Here is a 23,496-nt window from a genome sequence, read left to right as displayed (position 1 = left end):
TAGGATTGTTTTTTCTATTTCTGTGAAGAATGTCATTGGTATTTTGATAAAGATTGCACTGTATCTGTAGATTGCTTTGGGTAATACAGACATTTTAACAATATTGATTCTTCCAATCCATGAACCTGGAGTATCTTTCCATTTTTTATGTGCCCTCCTCAATTTCTTTCATCAATGTTTTATAGTTTTCATTGTAGAGATTTTTCACATCTTTGGTTAAGTTTATTCCTAGGTATTTTATTTCATTTGTAGCTATTATAAATGGTATTACTTTCCTGATTTCTTTTTTAGATTGTTTATGGTTGGCATATACAAATGCCACAGATTTTTATGTTGATTTTGTATCCTGCAACTATACTACATTTATTAGTTCTAATAGCTTTTTTGTGGAGTCTTTAGGCTTTTCCAAATATAAGATCATATCATCTGCAAAGAGGGATTATTTTCTTTCTTTCTTTCCAATTTGGATGCCCTTTTTTTCTTTCTCTTGTCTGATTTCTCTGGCTAGGATTTCCAGTACTATGCTGAACAACAGTGGTAAACGTGGGTATCCTTGTCTTGTTTGAGATCTTAGAGGAAAGGCTTTCAGTTTCTCCCCATTCAGTATGATACTAGTTGTAGGTCTGCCATATATGGCTTTTATTGTGTTGAAGTATCTTCCTTCTATACCCAGTTTTTTGAGGGTTTCTATTATGAAGGGATGTTGAATTTTGTCAAGTGCTTTTTCAGCATCAATTGAAATGACCATATGATTTTTGTCCTTCATTCTGTTAATATGATGTATCACACTGATTGATTTGCATCTGTTGAACTATCTGTGCATCTTTTGAATGAATCCCACTTGATCATGGCTAATGATCTTTTTAGTCTGTTTTTGAATTTGGTTCGCGGGTATTGTGTTGAGGATTTTTGCATCAATGTTCATCAGGGATATTGGCCTATAGTTCTCTTTTTTTTATTAGTCTTTGTCTGGTTTTGGTATCAGAGTAATACTGGCCTCATAGAATAAGTTCCTCTATTTTTGGAATAGTTTGAGTAGGATTCGTTCTTCTATAAATGTTTGGTAAAATTCAGCAGTGAAGCCATTGGGTCAGCTTTTCTTTGCTGGGAGACTTTTTAATACAGCTTTGATCTCATTACTTGTTTTTCTGTTTTTTTTTTTTGTTTGTTTGTTTTGTTTGTGTGTTTGTTTTTGAGACACAGTCTCACTCTGTCACCCAGGCTGGAGTGCAGTGGCGTGATCTCAGCTCACTGCAAACTCCACCTCCTGGGTTCAAGCAATTCTTGTGCCTCAGCCTCCCAAGTAGCTGGGACTACAGGCATGTGCTACCACACCAGGCTGATTTTTGTATTTTTAGTAGAGGTGGGGTTTCACCATGTTGGCCAGGCTGGTCTCAAACTCCTGACATCAAGTGATCCACCCGCCATGGCCTCTCAAAGTGCTGGGAATACAGGTGTGACCCACTGTGCCTGGCCTGATCTCTTACTTGTTATGGGTCAGTTCAGGTTTTGGATTTCTTTATGGTTGAATCTTAGGTTGTATGTGTCTAGGAATTTATCCATTTCTTCTGAGTTTTCCAATTTATTGGCATATAGTTGCTTATAGTAGTCTCTAATGATCCTTTGAATTTCTCCAGTATCAGTTGTAATGTTTCCTTTTTCATCTCTCGATTTATTTATTTGGATCTTCTCTCTTTTTTTCTTAGGCTAAAGGTCTTTCTATTTTGCTTATCTTTTTAGAGAAAACAAATTTTTGTTTCATTGATCTTTTGTATTTTTTTATTTAGATTTTATTTATTTATACTCTGATTTTTATTATTTTATTTCTTCTACTAATTTTGGCTTGTTTGCTCTTGCTTTTCTGGTTCTTTAAGATGCATTGTTAGGTTGTTTATTTGAAGTTTTTATACTTTTTTGATATAGGAGCTTACTGCTATAAACTTTGCTCTTATTACAACTTTGGTTGTATCCCATAGGTTTTGGTATGTTGGGTTTTCATTTCCACTTGTGAAACTTGCTAATTTTTAAATTAATTAATTCAACAAATAGTTATTAAGTATACACTCTATAGCAAGGACTGTACTGGGTCCTGGAAATACAAGGGAGAACAAAGCCAGACACTAGAGATCATAGTCCAGTGAAAGGAGCAGACAAATTTTTAAATTATGTAAATGGTTAATTAAATAAGTAATAAATGTAATCAAGGAAATGAAATATCTGTACACTGAAAACTATTAAACATTGATGAAAGAAATTGAAGAAGTCACAAATAAATGAAAAGAAATCTTATGTTCATGGATTGGAAGAATTAATATTGTTAAAACGTTCATACTAGCCAAAGAATCTACAGATTCAATGCAATCCCTATTAAAAATTCAATGACTTTTTTCACAGGACCAGAAAAAAACAATACTAAACTTTGCAACCACAGAAGACCCATAATGGCCAAAGCAATTTTGAGAAAGGAGAACAAACTGAAGACATCACACCCCCTGATTTCAAACTATATTACAAAGCTGTAATAATTCAAACATTATGAAATGGCATTAAAAACACATCTACTAATGGAACAGAATAGAGAGCAAAAAAAAAAAAAAAAATCAATGCATTTATGGTTAACAGACTTTTGGTAAAGATGCCAGTAATACAAAATGAGGAAAAGACAGTCCCTTCAATAACTGATGCTAGAAAAGTTGTATACTGACATGTGGAAGAATGAAATTAGAATAATGAACGTTTGTGAGAGTCAAGACAACCCTGGGCTTAAGGCGCCATCTAGTGCTGAAAATGAGGCAGCAATCTAGGAGTAAAGGGATTCAACAAACAATTGTAAAAGACCTCTTAGGAAACATAACCTAGAAAGGCCAAAACAAGAGATGAAGTGAAGATAGGTACAAGTAACTAATCCTTGAAGCATAGGAACTAATCCTATGAAGCCATAGATGTACATCCACAAGAAACAACAGCAAACGAAACTATGACCTCCCCAAGTCAACAAAGCAAGGAGGCAGTGATCAACCCTACCATAATGGCAAAGTGTGAGCTCTCAGATCAAGCATTAAAAATAGCAGTTTCAAGGAAACTCAGAAAACTCCAGGGTAACATGAAAAAGCAATTCACAAATTTATCAGAAAAATATAGCGGAGATAGAACTAATAAAAACAATCAAATGGAAATCCTGGAACTGATAAATACATTTGCTGAGCTGAAAAAATACAATAGAGGCTCTCAACAGCAGAATGAATTGAGCCAAAAAAAAGAATCAGGAAGCTTAAAGATGGACTATTTGAAAATACACAGTCAGAGGAGAAAAAAGAAAAAAGAGTGAAAAAGAATGATGAATACCTACAGGATATACAAAATAACCTCAAAAGAGCAAGTCTAGGAGTTGGTGTTCGAGAGGGAGTTGAGAAGGAGCAAGGTGTAGAAAGCATATTCAAAGTAATAATAATAACAGAAAACTTTCCAAACCTAGAGAAGGACACAAATATCCAGGTACAAGAAGTTCAGTGATCACCAAACAGATTCAATCCAAATAAGACTGCCCCAAGGCATATAACATTCAAACTCTCAAACATCAAGGACAAAGAGAAGATCCTAAGAGCAGCAAGAGAAAAGAAGCAAATAACACGTAAAGGAGCTCTGATTCATCTAGCAACAGATTTCTCAGCGGAAACCATACAAGTCAGGAGGGAGTGGATGACATATTCAACGTCCTGAAGAAAAAAAAACTGTCAACTGAGAGCACCGTACCCAGCAAAGTTTTCCTTCAAACATAAAGAAGAAAGTCTTTCCTAGATAAGCAAAAGCTGAGAGAATTTATCACCACTAGACCTATCTTACAAGAAGTGCTAAGAGGAGTTTTCAATATAACAGAAAGTGATCCTAATATGCAAAAAGAAAACATTTGAAAGTATAAAATTCACTGGTAAAAGTCAGTATATAGACAAATTTGGGATACTGTAATATTGTTAGAGTTGAAAGAGTTGAAAAAAAGATATTCTATGGAAACCATAAAAGAGCAGAAGTAGCTAAGCAGAAGTAGCTATACTTATATTAGTTAAAATAGATTTCAAGTCAAAGACAGTAAAATAAACAGGGTATATATAGTGATAAAAGGATCAATTCAGCAAGAAGATTCAGTAAATATATATGTACCCAACACAGGAGCCCCCAAATATATAAAACAAGCATTAATAGATCTAAAGGGAGAGATAAGACTATAATACAATAATAGTAGGGGACTTCAACACCTCACTCTCAGGAATGAACAAATCATCCATACAGAAAATCAGTAAAGAAACACTGGAGTTACACTACATTCTAGACTAAATGGACCTAACTGACATTTACAGAACATTTCATCTAACTGTTACAGAATACACATTCTTCTCATCAGCACATGGAATATTCTCTAGAATAGGCCATCTATGAGGCTACAAAACAAGTCTTAACAAATTCAAAAGAATCAAAATCATATCAAGTATTTTTTCTGACCCCAGTGGAATAAAACTAGAACTTAGTAACAAGAGGAACTGTGGAAAATATACAAACATATGGAAATTAAATAACATGCTTCTGAATGACCAGTGAGTCAATGAACAAATTAAGAAGGAAATTTCAAAATTTCTTGAAACAAATGCAAATGGAAATGCAACATATCAAAATCTACAGGATACAGCAAATGCAATACTAACAGGAAAGTTTACAGCAACAAGCACCTGCATCAAAAGAGTGGAAAGCTTTCAAATAAACAGCCTAATGATGCACCTCAAGAAACAAGAAAAGCAAGAACAAACCAAACACAAAATTAGTAGAAGGAAATAAATATTAAAAATCAGAGTAGAAATAAAATTGAGACTAAAAAATATTAGAAAAATCAACAAAACAAAAAGCTGGTTTTTTTGAAAAGATAAAATAGACAAAGCTTTTGCTAAATAGAAAAAAAAAAGAGAAAATCCGAGTAATCAGAAACAAGAAAGAAGCCATAAAAATTGATGCCACAGAAATACAAAGGATCATTAGAGACAATTATGAATGACTATATGCCAACAAATTGAAAAACCTAGAAGAAATGGATAAATTACTGGACACATACAAGCAACCAAGATTGAACTATGAAGAAATAGAAAATCAAAGAAAAGCCTGGGCCCAGATAGCTTCACTGCTGAATTCTACCTAACATTTAAAGAAGAACGAATACTAATTCTACTCAAACTACTCCAAAACATTAAAGAGGAAGGAGTACTTCCAAACTCATTCTATGAAGCCAGTGTTACACTGATACCAAAACTAGACAGATAAGAGCAACACTAAAAAAGAAATCTGCAGGCCAATATCCCTGATAAAAATAGATGCAAAAATCCTCAACAAAATAACAGAATACAACAACACTTTAAAAAGATCATCCACCATGATCAAGTGAGGTTCATCCCAGGATTGCAAGGATGATTCAACATATGTCAATCAATAAATGCAGTACATCACATTAAGAGGATAAAGGACAAAGACCATATGATCATTGTAATAGATGTTGAAAAAACATTCAACAAAATTCAACATCCCTTTATGATTAAAAAAAAAAACTCTCAACAAACTGGGTTTAGAAGGAACATACTTCAAAACAATAAAGGCCACATATGACAAAGCCACAGCTAACATTGTACTAAATGAAGAAAAATGGAAAGTCCTCTAAGATATGGAACAAGACAAGAATGTCCACTTTCACCACTTTTATTCAACATAGTGCTGGAAGTCCTAGCCAGAGAAATTAGGCAAGAGAAAGAAGTAAAGAACATTCGGTTGGAAAGGAAGAAGTCAAATTTCTTGTTTGCAGATTACATACTAGTACATTTGGAAAACCCTAAAGACTCCATCAAAAAAAAGTTTAGATTTGGTAAATGAATTCAATAAAGTTACTGGATAGGAAATCAACATACAAAAATTAGTAGCATTTATGTACACCAACAAAGAACAATATGAAAAAGAAGTCAACAAAGCAATCCCATTTACAATAACTACAAAAAAAAATAAGAATAAATTTAACTAAAGAAGTGAAAGATCTCCACAAGGAAAACTATAAAACATTGATGAGGCCATGGATGGTCTCATGTCTATAATCCCAGCACTTTGGGAGGCCAAGGATTGCTTAAAGCCAAGAGTTCAAGACCAGCCTGGTCAACACGGTCAGACACTGTCTCTACAAATAATATAATAATAATATTAATAATAACAAAAATAAGTTAACTAAGCATGGTGGCTCATGTCTGTAGTCCCAGCAACTTGAGAGGCTGAAGCAGAAGGATCACTTGAGCCCAGGTGTTTGAGGCTGCAGTGACCTATGATCATGCCACTACATTCCAGCTTGGGTGACAGAACAGGATCCCATCTTAAAAACAAACAAAAAACACTGTGGAAAGAAATTGAACAGGATACAAAAAATGGAAAGATATCCCATGCTTATGAGTTGGAAGAATTAATATTGGTAAAATGTCAATACTCCCCAAACTAATCTACAGATTCAATGTAATCTCTATCAAAATACCAACAACATTCTTCACAGAAAGAAAAAAACTCCTAAAATTTGTATGAAACCACAAAAGGCTTCAAGTAGCCAAAGCAATCTTCAGCAAAAAGAATAAAGCTGGAGGCATCATACTAACAAACTTTAAAATATACTACAAAGCCATAGTAACCAAAATAGCTTGGTACAAGTGTAAAATAAACACATGAGTCAATGGAATAGAGTAGAGAACCCAGAAATAAAATTGTGCATTTATGGCCATTTCATTTTCAATTGAGGCATTAAGAGCAGACATTGGGAAAAGGTATCTCTTCAATAAATGGTGCTGGGAAAACTGGATAATCATTTGCAGAAAAATTAAACTAGACGCTATCTCTCAGCATATACAAAATCAAATCAAAATGCACTAAAGACTTAAACATAAGACCTGAAACAATGAAACTAGTAGAAGAAAAACATGGAGGAAATGCTTCAGGACATGGGTCTGGCAAAGATTTTTTAGTGTAAGACTGCAAAAACACATGAAGCAAAAGCAAAAATAGACAAATGGCACTATATCAAGCTAAAAAAACTGCGCAGCAAAGGAAACAATCACCAAAGTGAAGAGATGACCTGCAGAATGGAGAAAATATTTGCAAACTATCCAGTTGACTAGAGACTATATATAAGTAACTCAACAGCAAGAACAAAACAAAACAAAATTGGAAAAAACCCTAAAACTCCCAAATAATCCAATTAAAAAATGGGGAAAAGATCTGGGTAGACATTTTTCAAAAGAAGGCATACAAATTGCCTATAGGTATAGGAAAAAATGCTCAACAGCACTGATCATCAGGAAAATGTGAATCAAAGCCACAATGAGATATTGTCTCACTCCAATTAAAAAGGCTTTTATCAAAAAGATAAAAAATAACAAATGCTGGTGAGCATAAAGAGAAAGCTGAACACCTGTACAATGTTGGTGGGAATGTAAATTAATATAGCCATGGAAGACAGTATGGAGGTTCCTCAAAAACTAAAAATAGAAATACTGTATGATCCAGCAATCCCACTGCTGGGTATACATGCAAAAGAAAGAAAATTAGTATGTTGAAGAGCTATCTGCACTCCCATTTTTATTTCAACATTATTCACAATAGTCAAGATATATAATCAACTTAAGTGTCTTATCAGTGGATGAGTGGATAGAGAAAATGTGATGCAAATACACAATGGAATATTATTTAGCCATAAAAATGAAATCCTGTCATCTGTAGCAACACAGATGGAATTGGAGGTCATCATGTTAAGTGAGATAAACCAGGTACAGAAACACAAATAGTCCACGCTCTCACTCATATGTGGGAGCTAAAATGGCGGATCTCATGGAGGTGGAGAGATGATTGGTGGTTACCAGAGACTGGAAGATGTTGGAGGAGGTGGGATGTAAAGAGAGGTTGTTTAGTGTGTACAACAAACAGCTAGAAGGAATAAGATCTAGTGTTTTGTAGCACAGCAGGTTGACTATAGTTCACAATAATTTGTTTTATAGTTCCAAATAGCTGGAGGAGAGGAACTGGAATGTTCCCAACATAAAGAAGGAGTGAATGTTTGCGGTGATAGATATCCCAATTGCTCTGGTTTGATCTTTACAATTATATGCATGAATCACAATACCACATGTATTACCAAAATACATACAACTATTATGTAGCTATTAAAAGTTGTAAAAAAATAAGTAGGAGGTAGAAAAATATACCATGTTTTGCTTGAGATAGGAAAAACCAAATTTTTTTTCACTCTTACCCTCATCACAATACAGAAAATTTCTGTGATCAAAATATGTGGGGATTTCTCCCCACAGCAAACAATTCTCCGGCAGACATTAACTGGGTGTCCCACAATTCAATTTACTTCTGACACCATCTACCTGCAGTTAGAGTCAGGCCAACCGGCTAATGGTTCAGTTCCACAAGACTGCTCCTCACTGCAAACAGCAATTGCAAGTAGTAGGTTGTCATCTATACTTCTGACTGACTATAAGCTGCAGTTCCCAAAACCCTCTCCTCAGATTTGATTAATTTGCTAAAATGGCTCACAGACCTCAGAAAAACACACTTACCAGTTTATTTTATTAATAAGAGATATGATAAAGGATACAGATGAACAGCCAGATGAAGAGATATATAGGGGAAATTCTAGAAGGGTTCCTAGTGCAGGAGCTTCTGTCCCCATGGAGTTGGGGTGCACCACCCCTCCTGGCACATGGATGTGTTCACAACTGGGAAGCCCCTTGAACCTGTAGTTCAGGGATTTTTATGGTGGCTTCATCATGTAGACATGACTGATTATTAACTCAATCTCCAGCCTTTCTCCTATCCTAGGAAATGGGGGCTGAAAGTTTCAAGCTTCTAATCATGGCTTGGTCTTTCAGGCATCCGCCCCCATCCAGCAGCCCACCAAGAGTTGCCTCATTAGAACAAAAGATGCTCCTGTCATCTGGGCAATTACAAGAGTTCTAGGAACTCTGTGTCAGGAACTAGGGACAAATATGAAAATACATATTTTCTCATTATAAATCACAATATAATACTTGCTAATAATAACCAAACAAACCTGAAATGTTATATTAATTCTAAATGAAGTAGATATAAGTGCCAAGGATATTACCATTGATAAATATGGTATTTTCATAACAATAAAGGGATCAATTCATCAAGAAGATGTAATAATCCTAAATGTTTCTACTCCTAGTAATAAGGTTTTCAAAATACATAAAGTAGAAACTGAAAGAACTTCAAGCAGAAATGGACAAGTTCACAATTATATTTGAAAATTTCAATACCTCATTTTCATTAATTTATAGAACAACTGGACAAAAAAACAAGCAAGATTTTAGAAGACTTGACTAATACTATCAGCCAACTTGACCTAATTTAATTTATTTAAAGAACTCTAAGCTTTGGACAAAGGCGCACAATAATTAATTGGAAAATAATAGTATTTTCAACAAGTGGTGCCATGACAACTGAGTTTCTAAATTTTGGTTGGACTCCTACCTCATACCGTATGGAAAACATAATTCAAAATGGCTTGTACACCTAAATATAAAAGATTAAATTATAAAACTCTTAGAATAAAGTTATGGAGTTAATTTTCATAGCTTTGGATTAGGCAACAACTTTGTAAATACAACACCAAAAGCATAAGCAACATGAGAAAAATAAGTTGGTCTACATCACAATGAAAAACTTTTGTGCTGGCTGGGCACAATGGCTCACGCCTGTAATTCCAGCACGAGGCGGGTGGATCACCTGAGGTCAAGAGTTCGAGACCAGCCTGGTCAACATGGTGAAACCCCATCTCTACTAAAAATACAAAAATTAACTGGGTGTGATGGTGGGCGCCTATAATCTCAGCTACTCGGGAAGCTGAGGCAGGAGAATTGCTTGAACCAGCCAGGCACAGTGGCTCATGTCTGTAATCCTAGCACTTTGGGAGGCTGAGGTGGGTAGATTACAAGGTCAGGAGTTCAAGACCAGCCTGGACAAGACGGTGAAACCCCGTCTCTACTAAAAATACAAAAATTAGCCAGGTGTGATGGTTGGCGCCTGTAATCCCAGCTACTCAGGAGGCTGAGGCAGAGAATTGCTTGAACCCGGGAGGTGGTGGCTGCAGTGAGCTGAAATCGTGCCACTGCACTCCAGCCTGGGTGACAGAGCAAGAGTCCGTCCCAAAAAAAAAAAAAGAATTGCTTGAACCTGGGAGGTAGAGGCTGCAGTGAGCTGAGATCATGCCACTGCACTCCAGCCTGGGTGGCAGAGTGAGACTCTGTCTCAAAAAAAAAAACAAAAAAAACAAACAAAAAACACACACAACAAAAAAAAAACAGCCCACTTTTGTGCTACAAATGGCTGGGCGCAGTGGCTTACACCTGTAATCCCAGCACTTTGGGAGGCCAAGGCAGGCAGATCACTTGAGGAGTTTGAGACCAGCCTGTCCAACATGATGAAACCTTGTCTCTACTAAAAATACAAAACTTAGCCAGGCGTGGTGGCACATGCCTATAATTCCAGCTACTTGGGGGGTTGAGGCAGAAGAATCACTTGAGCTTGGGAAGCAGAGGCTGCAGTGAGCCAAGATCACACCACTACACTCCAGCCTGGGTGACAGAGCGAGACTCCATCTCAAAAACAAAAAACGAAAAAAACCCCAAACTTTTGTGCTGCATACAATATCATCAAGAAATTTTAAAAGGCAACCCACAGAATACAATCAAATATTTGCTAATATATATCTATTAAGAAATTCATATTCTGAATGTATAAAGAATTCTTACAATGTAATAATAAAAAAAGCAAATAACCCAATTTTAAATGGGTTAAATGTTCCAAATGGACAGTTCTCCAGAGGAAATGTAAAAGTAGCCAATAAGCACATAGGAAGATGCTAACATTACTATTTATTAGGGAAATGCAAAACCACAATGAGACCACTTCACACCCACTGGGATGGCTGTAACTAAAAAGACAAGTGTTGTTGAGGATGCAGAGTGATTGGAAACCTCCTACATTGTTGGTGGGAATGTAAACGGTGCAGCTGCTGTGGAACACAGTTTGGCAGTTCTCAAAAAAGTTAAACATAGAATTCCTATACGACTCAGCAATTCTATTCCTAGGTCAATACTCAGAAGAGATAAAAACATATGTCCACACAGAAATTTGTACATAAATGTTCATAGCAACATTATGCATAATAGCAAAAAATGGAAACAACTTAAATCTCCATCAACTAAAGAATATATAAATAAAATGTATATCTGTGTAATGGACTATTACTCAGCAATAAAAGGAAATAAAGTATTGATACATGCTACAACACAGATGTTCCTTAAAAACATTATGCTAAGAGAAAAAGCCAGTCCCAAAAGACCACATATTGTATTCCATTTATATGAAATGTCCAAAATAGGCAAATCCATAAAAACAAAAAGTAGTGATTGCCTAGGGCTGGGAGGATTAGAAGGAAATGGGAAGTGGCTGCAAGTGGCTATGGGGTTTCTTTTTGAGGTGATGAAAATATTCTGAAATTAGATAGTGGTGACAGTTGCACCACCTTGTGAATATACTGAAAACCACCAAATTGTACACTTTCAATGGGTAAATTTTGTTTTTACATAATATGTGAATTATATCTCAATTTTTAAACTGTAGAAACAGAAAGAAGTTAAAATAGTGGTTGCTTAGGACTGGGATAGCCAAGGGAATTGGATGATAATGGGTATGGGATGTTGTTTAGAGGGGAATTAAAATATTCTAAAATTAATTTGTGGTGATGGTTACACAACTCTGTGAATATAAACATTAAACTCTGTGTGATTTTTATTGCTTATGACTTATATCTTAATAAAGATATTTTAAAAAAACACTCACCAAGCAACAGCAGGATATACTTTTTTTTCTTTTTCAATTTCACATGGAATATTCACCACACTAACCATATTCTGGGCCATTAACAACTCTCAATAAATTTAAAAGATTTCAAATAAGTTTGTGCTTTGACTATAATGGAATTCTATTAGAAATTATTTTAAAAGATACTTTTATAATTCCCAAATGAAACACCTTACTGAAAATGTATTCTACAAAATAATGGCTGAAGAATTTCCAAATTTAGCAAAAGACATATACATTCATATTCAAGAAACAGCGACCGTCAAACAGGATAAACCAAAGATCCATGAAGACATCATAGTCAAACTTCTGAAAACTAAAGAAAAAAAGAATGAAATGTGTAAGAAATTACACTTACTCTATAAGAAAAGCAATTCAAGTGAGAACAGATTTCTTATCAGAGGTTACGGAGGCTATAAGAAAGTGGAACAATATTTTTCAAGTACTGAAAGAAAAGAACTGTTGATTCAGAATTCTATATCCAGGACAATATTATTCAGGAAAGAAGGACAGCAGAAAAAATATAGTAATGCGCTATCAGACAAAGTAGACTTTAGGGTAAATGAAATTACCAGGAAAAAAGAGGGAAATTACACAATAATAAAAGGGTCAACCCACCAAGAAGACAGAGCAATTCTAAATGTGTATGCACAAAGCTACCGAAGGGCAAAATATGTGAAGACAAAACTGATAGAACTAAAAGGAAAAATAGTCACACAGTTATTGGTGATTTTAACATTATACTCAGCAGTTGATAGAATACCTAGATAGAAAATCAGCAACGATATAGAAGAGCTCAAAAAACCATGAACCAGCAGGAAAAGCATTTGCTCAACACCAAACAACAGAGTATACATTCTTTTCTTTTTTCTTTTTTTTCTTTTTTTAATTTTTTTTTTTGAGATGGAGTTTCACTCTTGTTGCCCAGGCTGGAGTGCAGTGGCGTGATCTTGGCTCACTGCAGCCTCGGCTTCCTGGGTTCAAGTGATTCTTCTGCCTCAGCCTCCCAACTGGCTGGGATTACAGGCACCCGCCACATGCCCAGCTAATTTTTTTGTATTTTTAGTAGAGATGGGGTTTCACCATGTTGGCCAGGCTCGTTTCGAACACCTGACCTCGGATGATCCACATGCCTTGGCCTCCCAAAGTGCTGGGATTACAGGTGTTAGCCACCGTGCCTGCCCTATACATTCTTTTCAAGCAGCCACAGATCATATACCAAGATAGACTATACCCTGGACTATTTTTAAAAGTCAATAAATTTAAAAGAATTGAAACCACATGATGATTGACCAAAATGGAATCAAACTAGAAACCAATGGAAACAAATAGCAGAAAGAGAAAGGAAATAACAGGGTAATCTTTAAGCACTGGAAACTAAGCAACTGACTCTAAATACTATAATCTGCAGGTCAATGAGGAAGGCTCAATGGAAATATATATATGTATATATATATATATATATAATATATATTGCAGTGAATGAACATGATGAAAATGAAAATACAATATACCATAATTTATGGGACTCAACTAAAGCAGCTCTGAAAGGGAAATTTATAGCACTTAATGTTTACATCAGAAAAGAAGTCTCAAATCAGTAATCAAACTTCTCACCTTAGGAAACTAGAAAAGGAGGAACAAAATAAACCCAAAGCAAGCATAAGAAAATATATAATAAACACAAGAAATCAATGAAATTAAAAAAAAATAGCTGGGTGGATATTACCATGGCTCATGCCTGTGATCCCAGCACTTCAGGAAGCTAAGGTGGGAGGCTTGCTTGAGCCAAGGAGTTCAACACCAGCCTGGGCAACATAGTAAGCCTGCCTCTCTACAAAAAAATTAAAAATTAGCTGGGTGTAGTGGCATGTGCCTGAAATTCCTGCTACCTGGGAGGTTGAGATGGGAGGATTGCATGAGCCTGAGAGGTCGAGGCTACAGTGAGCTGTGATTGCACTGCACCCCAGACTGGACAACAGAGTGAGACTCTGTCTCAAAAAAAAAAACAAAGAAAAGAAAAAGAAAAAAAACAAAAAGAAAAAAGAAAAAATCAATGAAGGAAAAGTTTTTTTAAGAAAGATCAATAAAATTGACAAAACTCTGGCAAGACTGACAGAAAAAGAGAAGACACAGGTTACCAATGTCAATAATGAAACAGAGATATTGCTACAGAGCCTGCAGGTGAAAATAAGAGAATACTAAAAACAACTCTACATATAAATTTGACAAATTGAAGGGACCAATTCTCTGAAAGGCACAAATTACTGCAACTCATCTAATATGGAATAAATAATTTGAATAGCATTGTAAATATTAAGGAAATGGAATTTATAATTCTAAGACATCAGAAAAAGAAATCTTCAGGCCCAGATGGTTTCACTGGAGAGTTTTGCCAAACATTTCAAGAATTAACATCAATTCTACACAATCTTTTCCAGAAAATAGAAGAGAAATGAACATTCTCAATTCATTTTACAGAGTTAATATACCCACTACCAAAACCACACAAAGTCCGTTAAAAAAAAAGAGAAAATGACACATTAATATCTCTTATAAATATAGATGCAAAAATACTCACCAAAATATCAGTAAGTCAAATCTAACAATATGTAAAAAGTGTTAACACCATAACTATGCAAGCCTGGTTCAACATTTGAAAATCAATGTAATCCACAATATCAACAATCTAAAGAAGAAAAATCATACAGTCATATCAATTGGTGCATAAAAAAGATGCATAAAATTTTATACACATTCCATGATAAAAATTCTCTGTAAACTCCTCAACTTGATAAAGAACATCTAGAAAAAAACCCTACAGCTAATATCATACCTAGTGATGAGAAACTAGATAGCTTTTCTCTGAAGACTGGAAGAAAGGTAAAGATATCATCTCTTGCCATTTTATTCAAGTTCATGCTGGACATTCTAGCTTTACAATAAGATAAGAAAAGGAAATAAAATCAACCTGCATACCTTTTATTAGAAAGGAAGAAACAAAACTGTCTTTATTAGCTAATGACATGAATGTATAGCTATGTAGAAAATCCCAAGAATTGAAAAACATCTGCTAGAACTGATAAGTAAATATAGCAAAGTTGAAGGATTCAAAGTTAATGTACAATAGTTGATTGCTTCTATTGCCAGCAATGTACAATTGGAATTCAAAATCTTAAAAAACATTTATAATAGTACCAATATAATGAATTACATAAGTATAAGTCTAACAATGTATGTATAAAATCTAAATGTGGAAAACAACAGAACTCTGATAAAAGAAATTAAAAATCTAAATAAATGGAGAGTTAGTCCATGTTCATGGATTGAAAGAGTCATACTGTTAAGATGTCAGATCTTCCCAGCATAATCTATAGATTAAGATGAAACCCCAGTCAATATCTCAGCAGCTATTTTGTGGTAACCAACAAACTGATTCTACAGTTTGTGTGGAAAATACAACACCACTTAAAATCACTTTAACAATGAAATACCTAGATGCAAATCTAATAAAACATGTATAGGACTTGTATGTCAAAAACTACAAAATACTAATGAAATAAATCAAAGAAGATCTAAATAAATGGTGAGATACATGTTCACAAGATAGGAAGACTAACCACAGTAAAGATGTCAGTTCTCCTTAAATTGATATATAAATTTACTGTGAATCCAGCAAGAGTTGTGATAAATATAGATAAAATTCTTCAAAAAGGCAACAGACTAGTAGCTTGACAAGAGAATAAAATGGGAGGAATCACTTTACCATACATTAAGACTTATTATATAACAATAATAAGACAAGACAATATCTCTCATCTCAGCAAGACAGAGACATATTGCTGGAGGGATAGACACAGATCAATAAAACACAATGGAGAATTCAAAAATATTTCCACAGCAATATATTTAACTGATTTTTGAGGAAGGTGTTATAGCAATTCAATGGAGGAAAGATAATCTCTTCAACAAATGATGCTGGAGCAATTGAACATCCTTAGGTAAAAATATAAACCTTGACCTAAATCTCATACAAAAATTGTAAAAATTAACTCAGAGTGAATCATGAACTTAAATGTAAAATAAAAAGCTATAAAACTTTAACGAAAAAACATAGGAGAAAATTTGGGATCCAGAGCTAGACAAAGAGTTATTTGACACCAAAAGCAAAATCCATAGTAAAAAAATCAATAAATTGTTTCTCTAAACTTGATTTCAATTAAAATAAGACTTTTGTTCTTTGAAAGCTCATATGAAGAGGATGGAAGAATTAGCTACAGTGTACGGGATTGGGGGATATTTGCAAACCAAGTGTCTTATAGAGGACTGGTATCTAGAATAAATAAACAATTCTCAAAACTCAACAGTTAAAAAGATTGAACAATCCAATTAAAAAATGTGAAAAAGACATGAAGAGACATGTCCCCAAAGAAGATATACAGATGGCAAATAAGCACATGAAAAGATGTTCAACATCATGAGGAATTAGGGAAATACAAATTAAACCACAATGACATATCACTACACACCTATCAAAATGACTACAGTAAAAAATAATGACAATATCAAATGCTAACAAGAATGCAAAGAAACTGGATCTATTATAAATTGATGGAGAGGATGTAAAATGTTACAGCTACTTTGGCAAATATTTTGGCAATTTCTTAATAAACCAAACATGTACTTACCATGCAGCCCAACAATTGCACTCCTGGGACTTATCTCAGAAAAATGATAACCTATGTCCACACAAAAACGTATACACGATTGTTCATAACAGCTTTGTGTGTAATAGCCAGAAACCAGAAGCAACCACAATGTTCTACAATAGGTAAATGGTTAAACAATGTGTGCTACCTACATACCACGGAATACTACTCAACAATAAAAAGGAGTGAACTATTGATACATACCCAGTTTGGATGGATCTCAACGGCATATGCTGAGTGAAAAAAAAGCCAATGTCAAAAGGTCACATACTTTGATGATTAATTTTGAGTGTCAACTTAACTGAATTAAGGGATACCCAGATAGCTGGTAAAGCATTATGTATTCTCAGTGCTTCGGTAGGCACTGAGCCCATCTCTCTTCTGCTGAAGGGGAGACTAGGTGGTTTCACTTTTAATTAGAATGATTGGGCTGATCCAAGTGTGTCTGTGAGGTGTTTCCAAAAGAGATTGGCATGTGAGCTGGTGGACTGAGTGAGAAAGATCTGCTCTTACTGTGGGTGGGCATAATTCAATCAGCTGGGGACCTAGATGGAACAAAAAGGTGGAGGATTTCAGCAAATTTCCTCTCTCTCTCTTTTGGAGCCAAGATTCCCTTTTTCTCCTGCACTTGGACATCAGAACTCCAGGTTGTCTGGCTGTTGGACTCTGGGACTCACACCAGTCCCTCCCGCCAGGCTCTTGGGCCTTTGGCCTCGGACTGAGAGTTACACTATTGGCTTAGTTTGTTCTGAGGCTTTTAGACTTGGACTGAGCTGTGCTAACAGCTTTCCTGCTTCTTCAGCTTGCAAACAGCATATTGTGGGATTTCTCTGCCTCCATAGTCAAGCAAGCCAATACCCTTAATAAATTTCTTTTTATATCTCTCTCTTTATATCCTATCACTTCTGTCTCTCTGGAGAACACATACTATGTGATGCCATTATATAACACTCTTCAAATGACAAATTATAAAGATAAAAAACAATCAGTGGTCTCCAGAGGTTAGAAATGGTGGCAGGGAGGGAAATGGGTATAAAGATGTAGCATGAGGAAGATCTTTTTAGTGATGGACTTGGAATCATTCTGTATCTTTATTGCAGTGGTGGTTACATGAATCTACATATGTTATAAAATGGCATAGAACTGTACATACACTTCATGTCAATGTTAGTATTCTGGTTTTGGTATTTTACTATAATTATATAAGATGTAACTGGGAATCAGTTTGTTGGTAACCACAAAATAGCTGCTGAGATATTGACTGGGATTCCATCTTAATCTATAGATTATGCTGGGAAGATCTGACATCTTAACAGTGTAACTCTCAATCCATGAACATGGACTATCTCTACATTTATTTAGATCTTTGATTTCTTTTATCAGAGTTCTGTGGTTTTCCACATTTCATATTACAGATGAAACTGTAATAGAGGAAAGTGGGATATACAGGACCTCTGTGTTCTATCTTTGCAACTTTCTATGAATCTGTGAGTTTTAAAAAATAATCCATGATTATTTAAAAGGTAATCAATGTAATCATCCTATTAATAGTCTAAAAAAGAAAAATCATGCATCTATCTCAATAGATGCAGAAAAAGCACTCGGGCCAGGCACGGTGGCTCATGGCTGTAATCCCAGCACTTTGGGAGGCCAAGGCAGGTGGATCATGAGGTCAGGAGATTGAGACCATCCTGGCTAACATGGTGAAACCCCATCTCTACTAAAAATACAAAAAATTAGCCAGGTGTGGTGGCAGGTGCCTGTAGTCCCAGCTACTTGGGAGGCTGAAGCAGCAGAATGGCATGAACCCGGGTGGGGGAGCTTGCAGTGAGCCGAGATCATGCCACTGTACTCCATCCTGGGCAACAGAGCAAGACTCTGTCTCAAAAAAAAAAAAAAAAAAGCTCTTGGAAAATTCACCATCCATTTACTTTCAATAAACAAGCTGAAAAAGGGATTTATGAAAAACCTACAGCCACTAGCATGCTTAATTATGGTGAAAGATTAAATGCTTTCCCCTTATATCAGAAACAAAGTAAGATGTCTGCCATCATCACTTCTATATGACATTGTACTGGAAGCCATAGCCAGTGCAACAAAGGAAGGGGAAAAAAAGTCATACAGATTGGAAAGCAATAAGTAAATCTGTTTTTATTCATAGACAACATGATCACCTATGTAAAAAAATCCTAAGGAATCTGCCAAAAAGCTACTAGAACTAATCGGTGGGTTTAATAAGGGTTCATGATACACAGTCAATGTACAAAAATAAATTATATTTTTTATATAGTAGTATTTATTTTAGTGTTGGACTGCTGGTAATCAATTCTTCCAGTGTTTAATTGTCTGAAAATATTCTTTCACATTCATTTTTGAAAGATATTTTCACTGAGGATAGAATTCTAGGTTGGAGTTACTATCTTTAAGCACTTTGAAAATAACAATCTATTGTCTTCTGACTTCCATTGTTTACATTGAAATGTCATGTGTCCTTTCCTCTGACTACTTTTAGGATTTTTCTCTTTGCCTTTGATTTTTAACACTTTACTATGATTTTACTAGTGTACGATTTTTTATGTTTATTGTTCCTGGGGTATGTAGCAGTTCCTGAATATGTGGCTTGATATATTTTCTGAGTTTCTAAAATTCTCAGGCATTGTCTCTTCAAATATTGTTTTGGCCCATTCTTCCTCTCCTCTCCTTCTGGGACTCCAAAATGAGTCTGCAAACCTGTGTACCTGACTTATTCTTGTTCACTGGAAGAAACTGACTCCAAATACCCTTATCTCTCTATATTAATATTTTGTAGACTTTTATGCCATAAATGTGCTACATATTATAAAGAAAATAACTCCTTTCTTGCGGTTGGGCACTGGAGTTTCTGAATATCTTTCAAAGAACAAGTATAACATTTCTTTATTTGATTTTTACCTTCTTGTGAATTAAACAAATGCTTTTGCTTTAAAAGAAAAAGCATCAATCTCAAATACTGTTTTGATACTTAAACTGTATTTTATAAGCATTAACTTCTATTCACCCACACTTATGGAAAAAGTCTGTATCCTTCATTTATTAATAACAGCCAGAGATATATGGTTGTGGATGCATATTTCTGTTTCAACTTTTGTTTGAGCAGCTTCCAAAACATCATCCTATAGGTTTTTGGAATCCGTGCCAAGTTCAGTTCAGATTAAGTTTCTTTGTTAGAATTGCTTTTTAAAGCATCTGGATCAGAAATCATATACTTCTGCTGCATAGCAAAGAAACATTTGGAAATCATCAGGGACATTATAATAGAGGATGAATAGTATTGTATGTTTTTTCTCAGGGTAGGTAAAGGCTACAACAAAAAAGAATTTTATTAAGAATTTAGAAAATGCTAGGTTGATATTGTTAAAATATTTTAAGCAGCTGATAGCTTGCTTTCAAAATGATAATATTGTACATACTATTTTTCCTAAAGCTACTATGGAATATTTCTGAGTAAAGGCAGTAATTTCTTCCTTTTACCTATTTTCAATGCTACAGACACACACACACACACACACACACACACACACACACACACACACACACACACACACAGAGAGAGAGAAGGAGAGAGAGAGATTAAGAAGGTATGCAGGTTAAACATTTTTAGCTTAACATCATAATTTTCCTTTTGTTTTTGTTTTTCCCCAGATTTGAAGCAGAGACCTAAATGATTCTTTATATCATTTCAACAAACAGCATTTGTTTGAGTAAAGAGGTTGTCTTAGGTTTGGTTTATATTTCACTGGACAACAATAATCTATCTACTCCCCTAAATAGAAAGACCTATCTTAAAAAAAATCTCCAAGAGAAACCTTCAGTTTCTAAAATAGTAGTACATTGTGTCATATTCATAAGTGGGCCAGAATTTCAAAATGAATCTCAGAACTGCTGTACTTATTAAATAAATCTGAATATATGGTTTTTAGGCTCTCTAATAGTTTCCAAAATGATTGATAGGTTTTGGAGGGATCATTTGATTATGCCATATATAGCCATGAGAAGATACATTTAGGTTGTGGTCTAGAAACCTAAATGATTTAGTAAGCTCCGTACTGTAGAACTAGAAGAAAATATTTCTTTTTCTGATTGGAGGGTAACCTTTGTCATGCTCCCTTCTGTGTTTAGAAATAACTTTTTCCTCCATGTTCACCTCAAAAGGATGGTGTGAGCCTATGAAATCATCATGGTACAACACAACCTAAATGTACCTTCTCTTGCCTATACATGGGGTAATAAAATGATCTCTCCAAATTTCATCAATCATAAAATCATATATTAATCATCTGGGTGCTAATTAAAATGTTTGTAGCTTTTGTAAACCAGATCCTTCATATTGTTAGAGCTGTTTTTCCAAAATCTCTAATACATATTTATTTCTCTTTATCTTGCTAGCAAGAAGATAGTAGAGGAATGGTGGACAGATTCTTTGAGGGGTAAGAAAATGCACTTTTGCTTCTTTATAGCCTATCTTATCTGCACGTTAAAGACAGAGCTAAAATGTGGTGTGTGAAATATATGTAGCAATGAAGTTTTTATTGATTGATATGTATGGCTTTGTGCAGCTGAATACTGCTGGTAGGAGTTACTGGCGTATGTAATACATTATCTTATTACACTCATTTTATGGAAGCTGATCCTGATGGGACAGTGGAAGGAGAGCTTACTCTGGCTTTCTGGAAAAGCAATTAATCCTACTGCTTATGTAGTAACCATGTCTTGGATCGCACTGGTGTGCTGGCACCCTTTCTCCTTTTATTAAAACAAAAATGCAGCTGCTGACCAGAAGTGCGGCTCTCCAAGTGGGGCTTTCATCATGTTGGTAAGAGATTCATATCCAGGGTTGACATCATTTCAGTTATGGCCTTTTCATTATTAAAGTTTGGAATTTCAAGTTTGTTTATTAAAGATTTAAAGCTATAGGTTAAATCACCAAATTGAAATCCACTTATTTTCCTATACTATGATAAGTGGATAAGGTGTGCTGGAAAATATGTTTTTCAGATTTTACCACCAGATGAATTATTTAAATTGTGAAATGCATTGTATCAGAAAGGAACTGACCTTTTTTTTTCCTGAATCTTCAGCATTTCTTTTTTATAAGTAACTTTCACATCCCTCAGTTTCTAGTAAGTGCATTTAGCAAATGTTTTAGAACTGTTGACTATTAAGTGTTAGTAAAAATAGTGGTGAGGACTTTTACTTAGTCCTTGTGGCAACTTTACTGTATGTTTCATCCGTTTCTCATCCATCTTTAAAATTGATAATTCTTTGAGACATGTGGAATTCACCAATGTTTATGATGATTTTTAACTCTCAGTACAGTCTTGTGCTCAAGGGCTCTCTGAATTTGTAATCCAACCTTTTTCATGCTGGCACTGCATCTTTTATTGCAAAAACAAAAATTAGCAGAATGCTTTTTATCTAGAGTTTAATGTAAATTCTATTTTAAATAGCAGAATTCGTATTGTATAGTTGACAAAGACAATTTTATAAAGACATTCATGAAACAGAAAGTTCATATTCTAAAATTTCTAGTGTTTTGAGTTCTTGGCATTTTAGCTCTTGCTTTCCCATTAAGTCATAGTCTGTTTGGTTTCACTTTTGACCTCTATAAAAATTATTGTAATAAAGACCTTTGAATACATACACGATGGCTTTTATTTTCATGCCCTGTGCATTCTGCGTATGTATTATTAGTAGGTAATAATTTGGGTTTTTAAAAATTTGTTTTGTTAAAATGAAAGTAACTTTAGAAAAAGCAATTGGTGTAATGGTTGTGACATCACTGACATCTTTTCTTTAAAAACTATTTAAATTGTTTAGTTACACATTGCAGGAAGCAGAGTAGAAATAAATCCAAAAGTTTACAATTCTTGAAATAAAAGTGTTTGTTGCTGTCTTTCAACACCCAGTTACCTGATGTCAACCAGGTGTCCTCCAGTTCAATTCAATTCTAACACCAACTACCCAGAGTCACCATCAGACACCACAGGCTTAGGACAAAGTCCTTCATTGCCTCCACTTCAGGTTCCAGTCATAAGTTTTGGGTGTTACCAAATCGCCCACACTTCTGCCCAGCCAGCTACACATTGAGGCTTCCCACAGCTCCCTTGTGTTTTGTGGTTTGCCAGAATGACTCGCAGAACTCAGGAGAGCACTATACTTGAAATAATTGTTTTACTATAAAGGATCTAAATGAACAGTTAGATGAAGAGATAACCAAAACAAGGTCTGGAAGGATCCCAGGCACAGGAGCCTCTATCTCTGTGGAGTCAGGATGTGCCACTAGTATATGGATATGTTCACCAGCCAGGAAGCTTCCCTGAGCCGTGGTGTCCTTACGTTGGCAAGATTGATTAAATCAGCCACCTGATTGAACTCTCCAGCCTCCTCCCCTCTCTGACAGTTGGGCTGGTCAATGTGTCAATCTTTTTTTTTTTTTGAGACGAGTCTCGCTCTGTCGCTCAGGCTGGAGTGCAGTGGTGCGATCTCGGCTCACTGCAAGCTCCGCCTCCCGGGTTCACGCCATTCTCCCGCCTCAGTCTCCCGAGTAGCTGGGACTACAGGCGCCTGCCACCACGCCTGGCTAATTTTTTGTATTTTTAGTAGAGACGGGGTTTCACCGTGTTAACCAGGATGGTCTCGATCTCCTGACTTCATGATCCGCCCGCCTCGGCCTCCCAAAGTGCTGGGATTACAGGCGTGAGCCACCGCACCCGGCCTAATGCTCCAATCTTTTAATCATGTTGTTACTCTTTCTGATGACCGGCCCTCCTCTTGAAACTATCTAGGGGCTTTG

The 23,496-nt window shown here is 35.3% G+C and overlaps 1 annotated feature.

Annotated features, from left to right (window-relative positions):
* Positions 2,656-2,950: an enhancer, noted in NCBI's record as "tiled region #7395; K562 Activating DNase unmatched - State 12:CtcfO". NCBI's record gives its function as "activates a minimal TATA promoter and a strong SV40 promoter by Sharpr-MPRA in K562 cells {active_cell/tissue: K562}" and the evidence as "EXISTENCE:reporter gene assay evidence [ECO:0000049][PMID:27701403]".

The sequence above is a fragment of the Homo sapiens genome, chromosome 17 (genome assembly GCF_000001405.40).
Source record: "Homo sapiens chromosome 17, GRCh38.p14 Primary Assembly".
NCBI lineage: Eukaryota > Metazoa > Chordata > Mammalia > Primates > Hominidae > Homo > Homo sapiens.
This window is presented reverse-complemented; position numbering and strand designations above follow the sequence as displayed.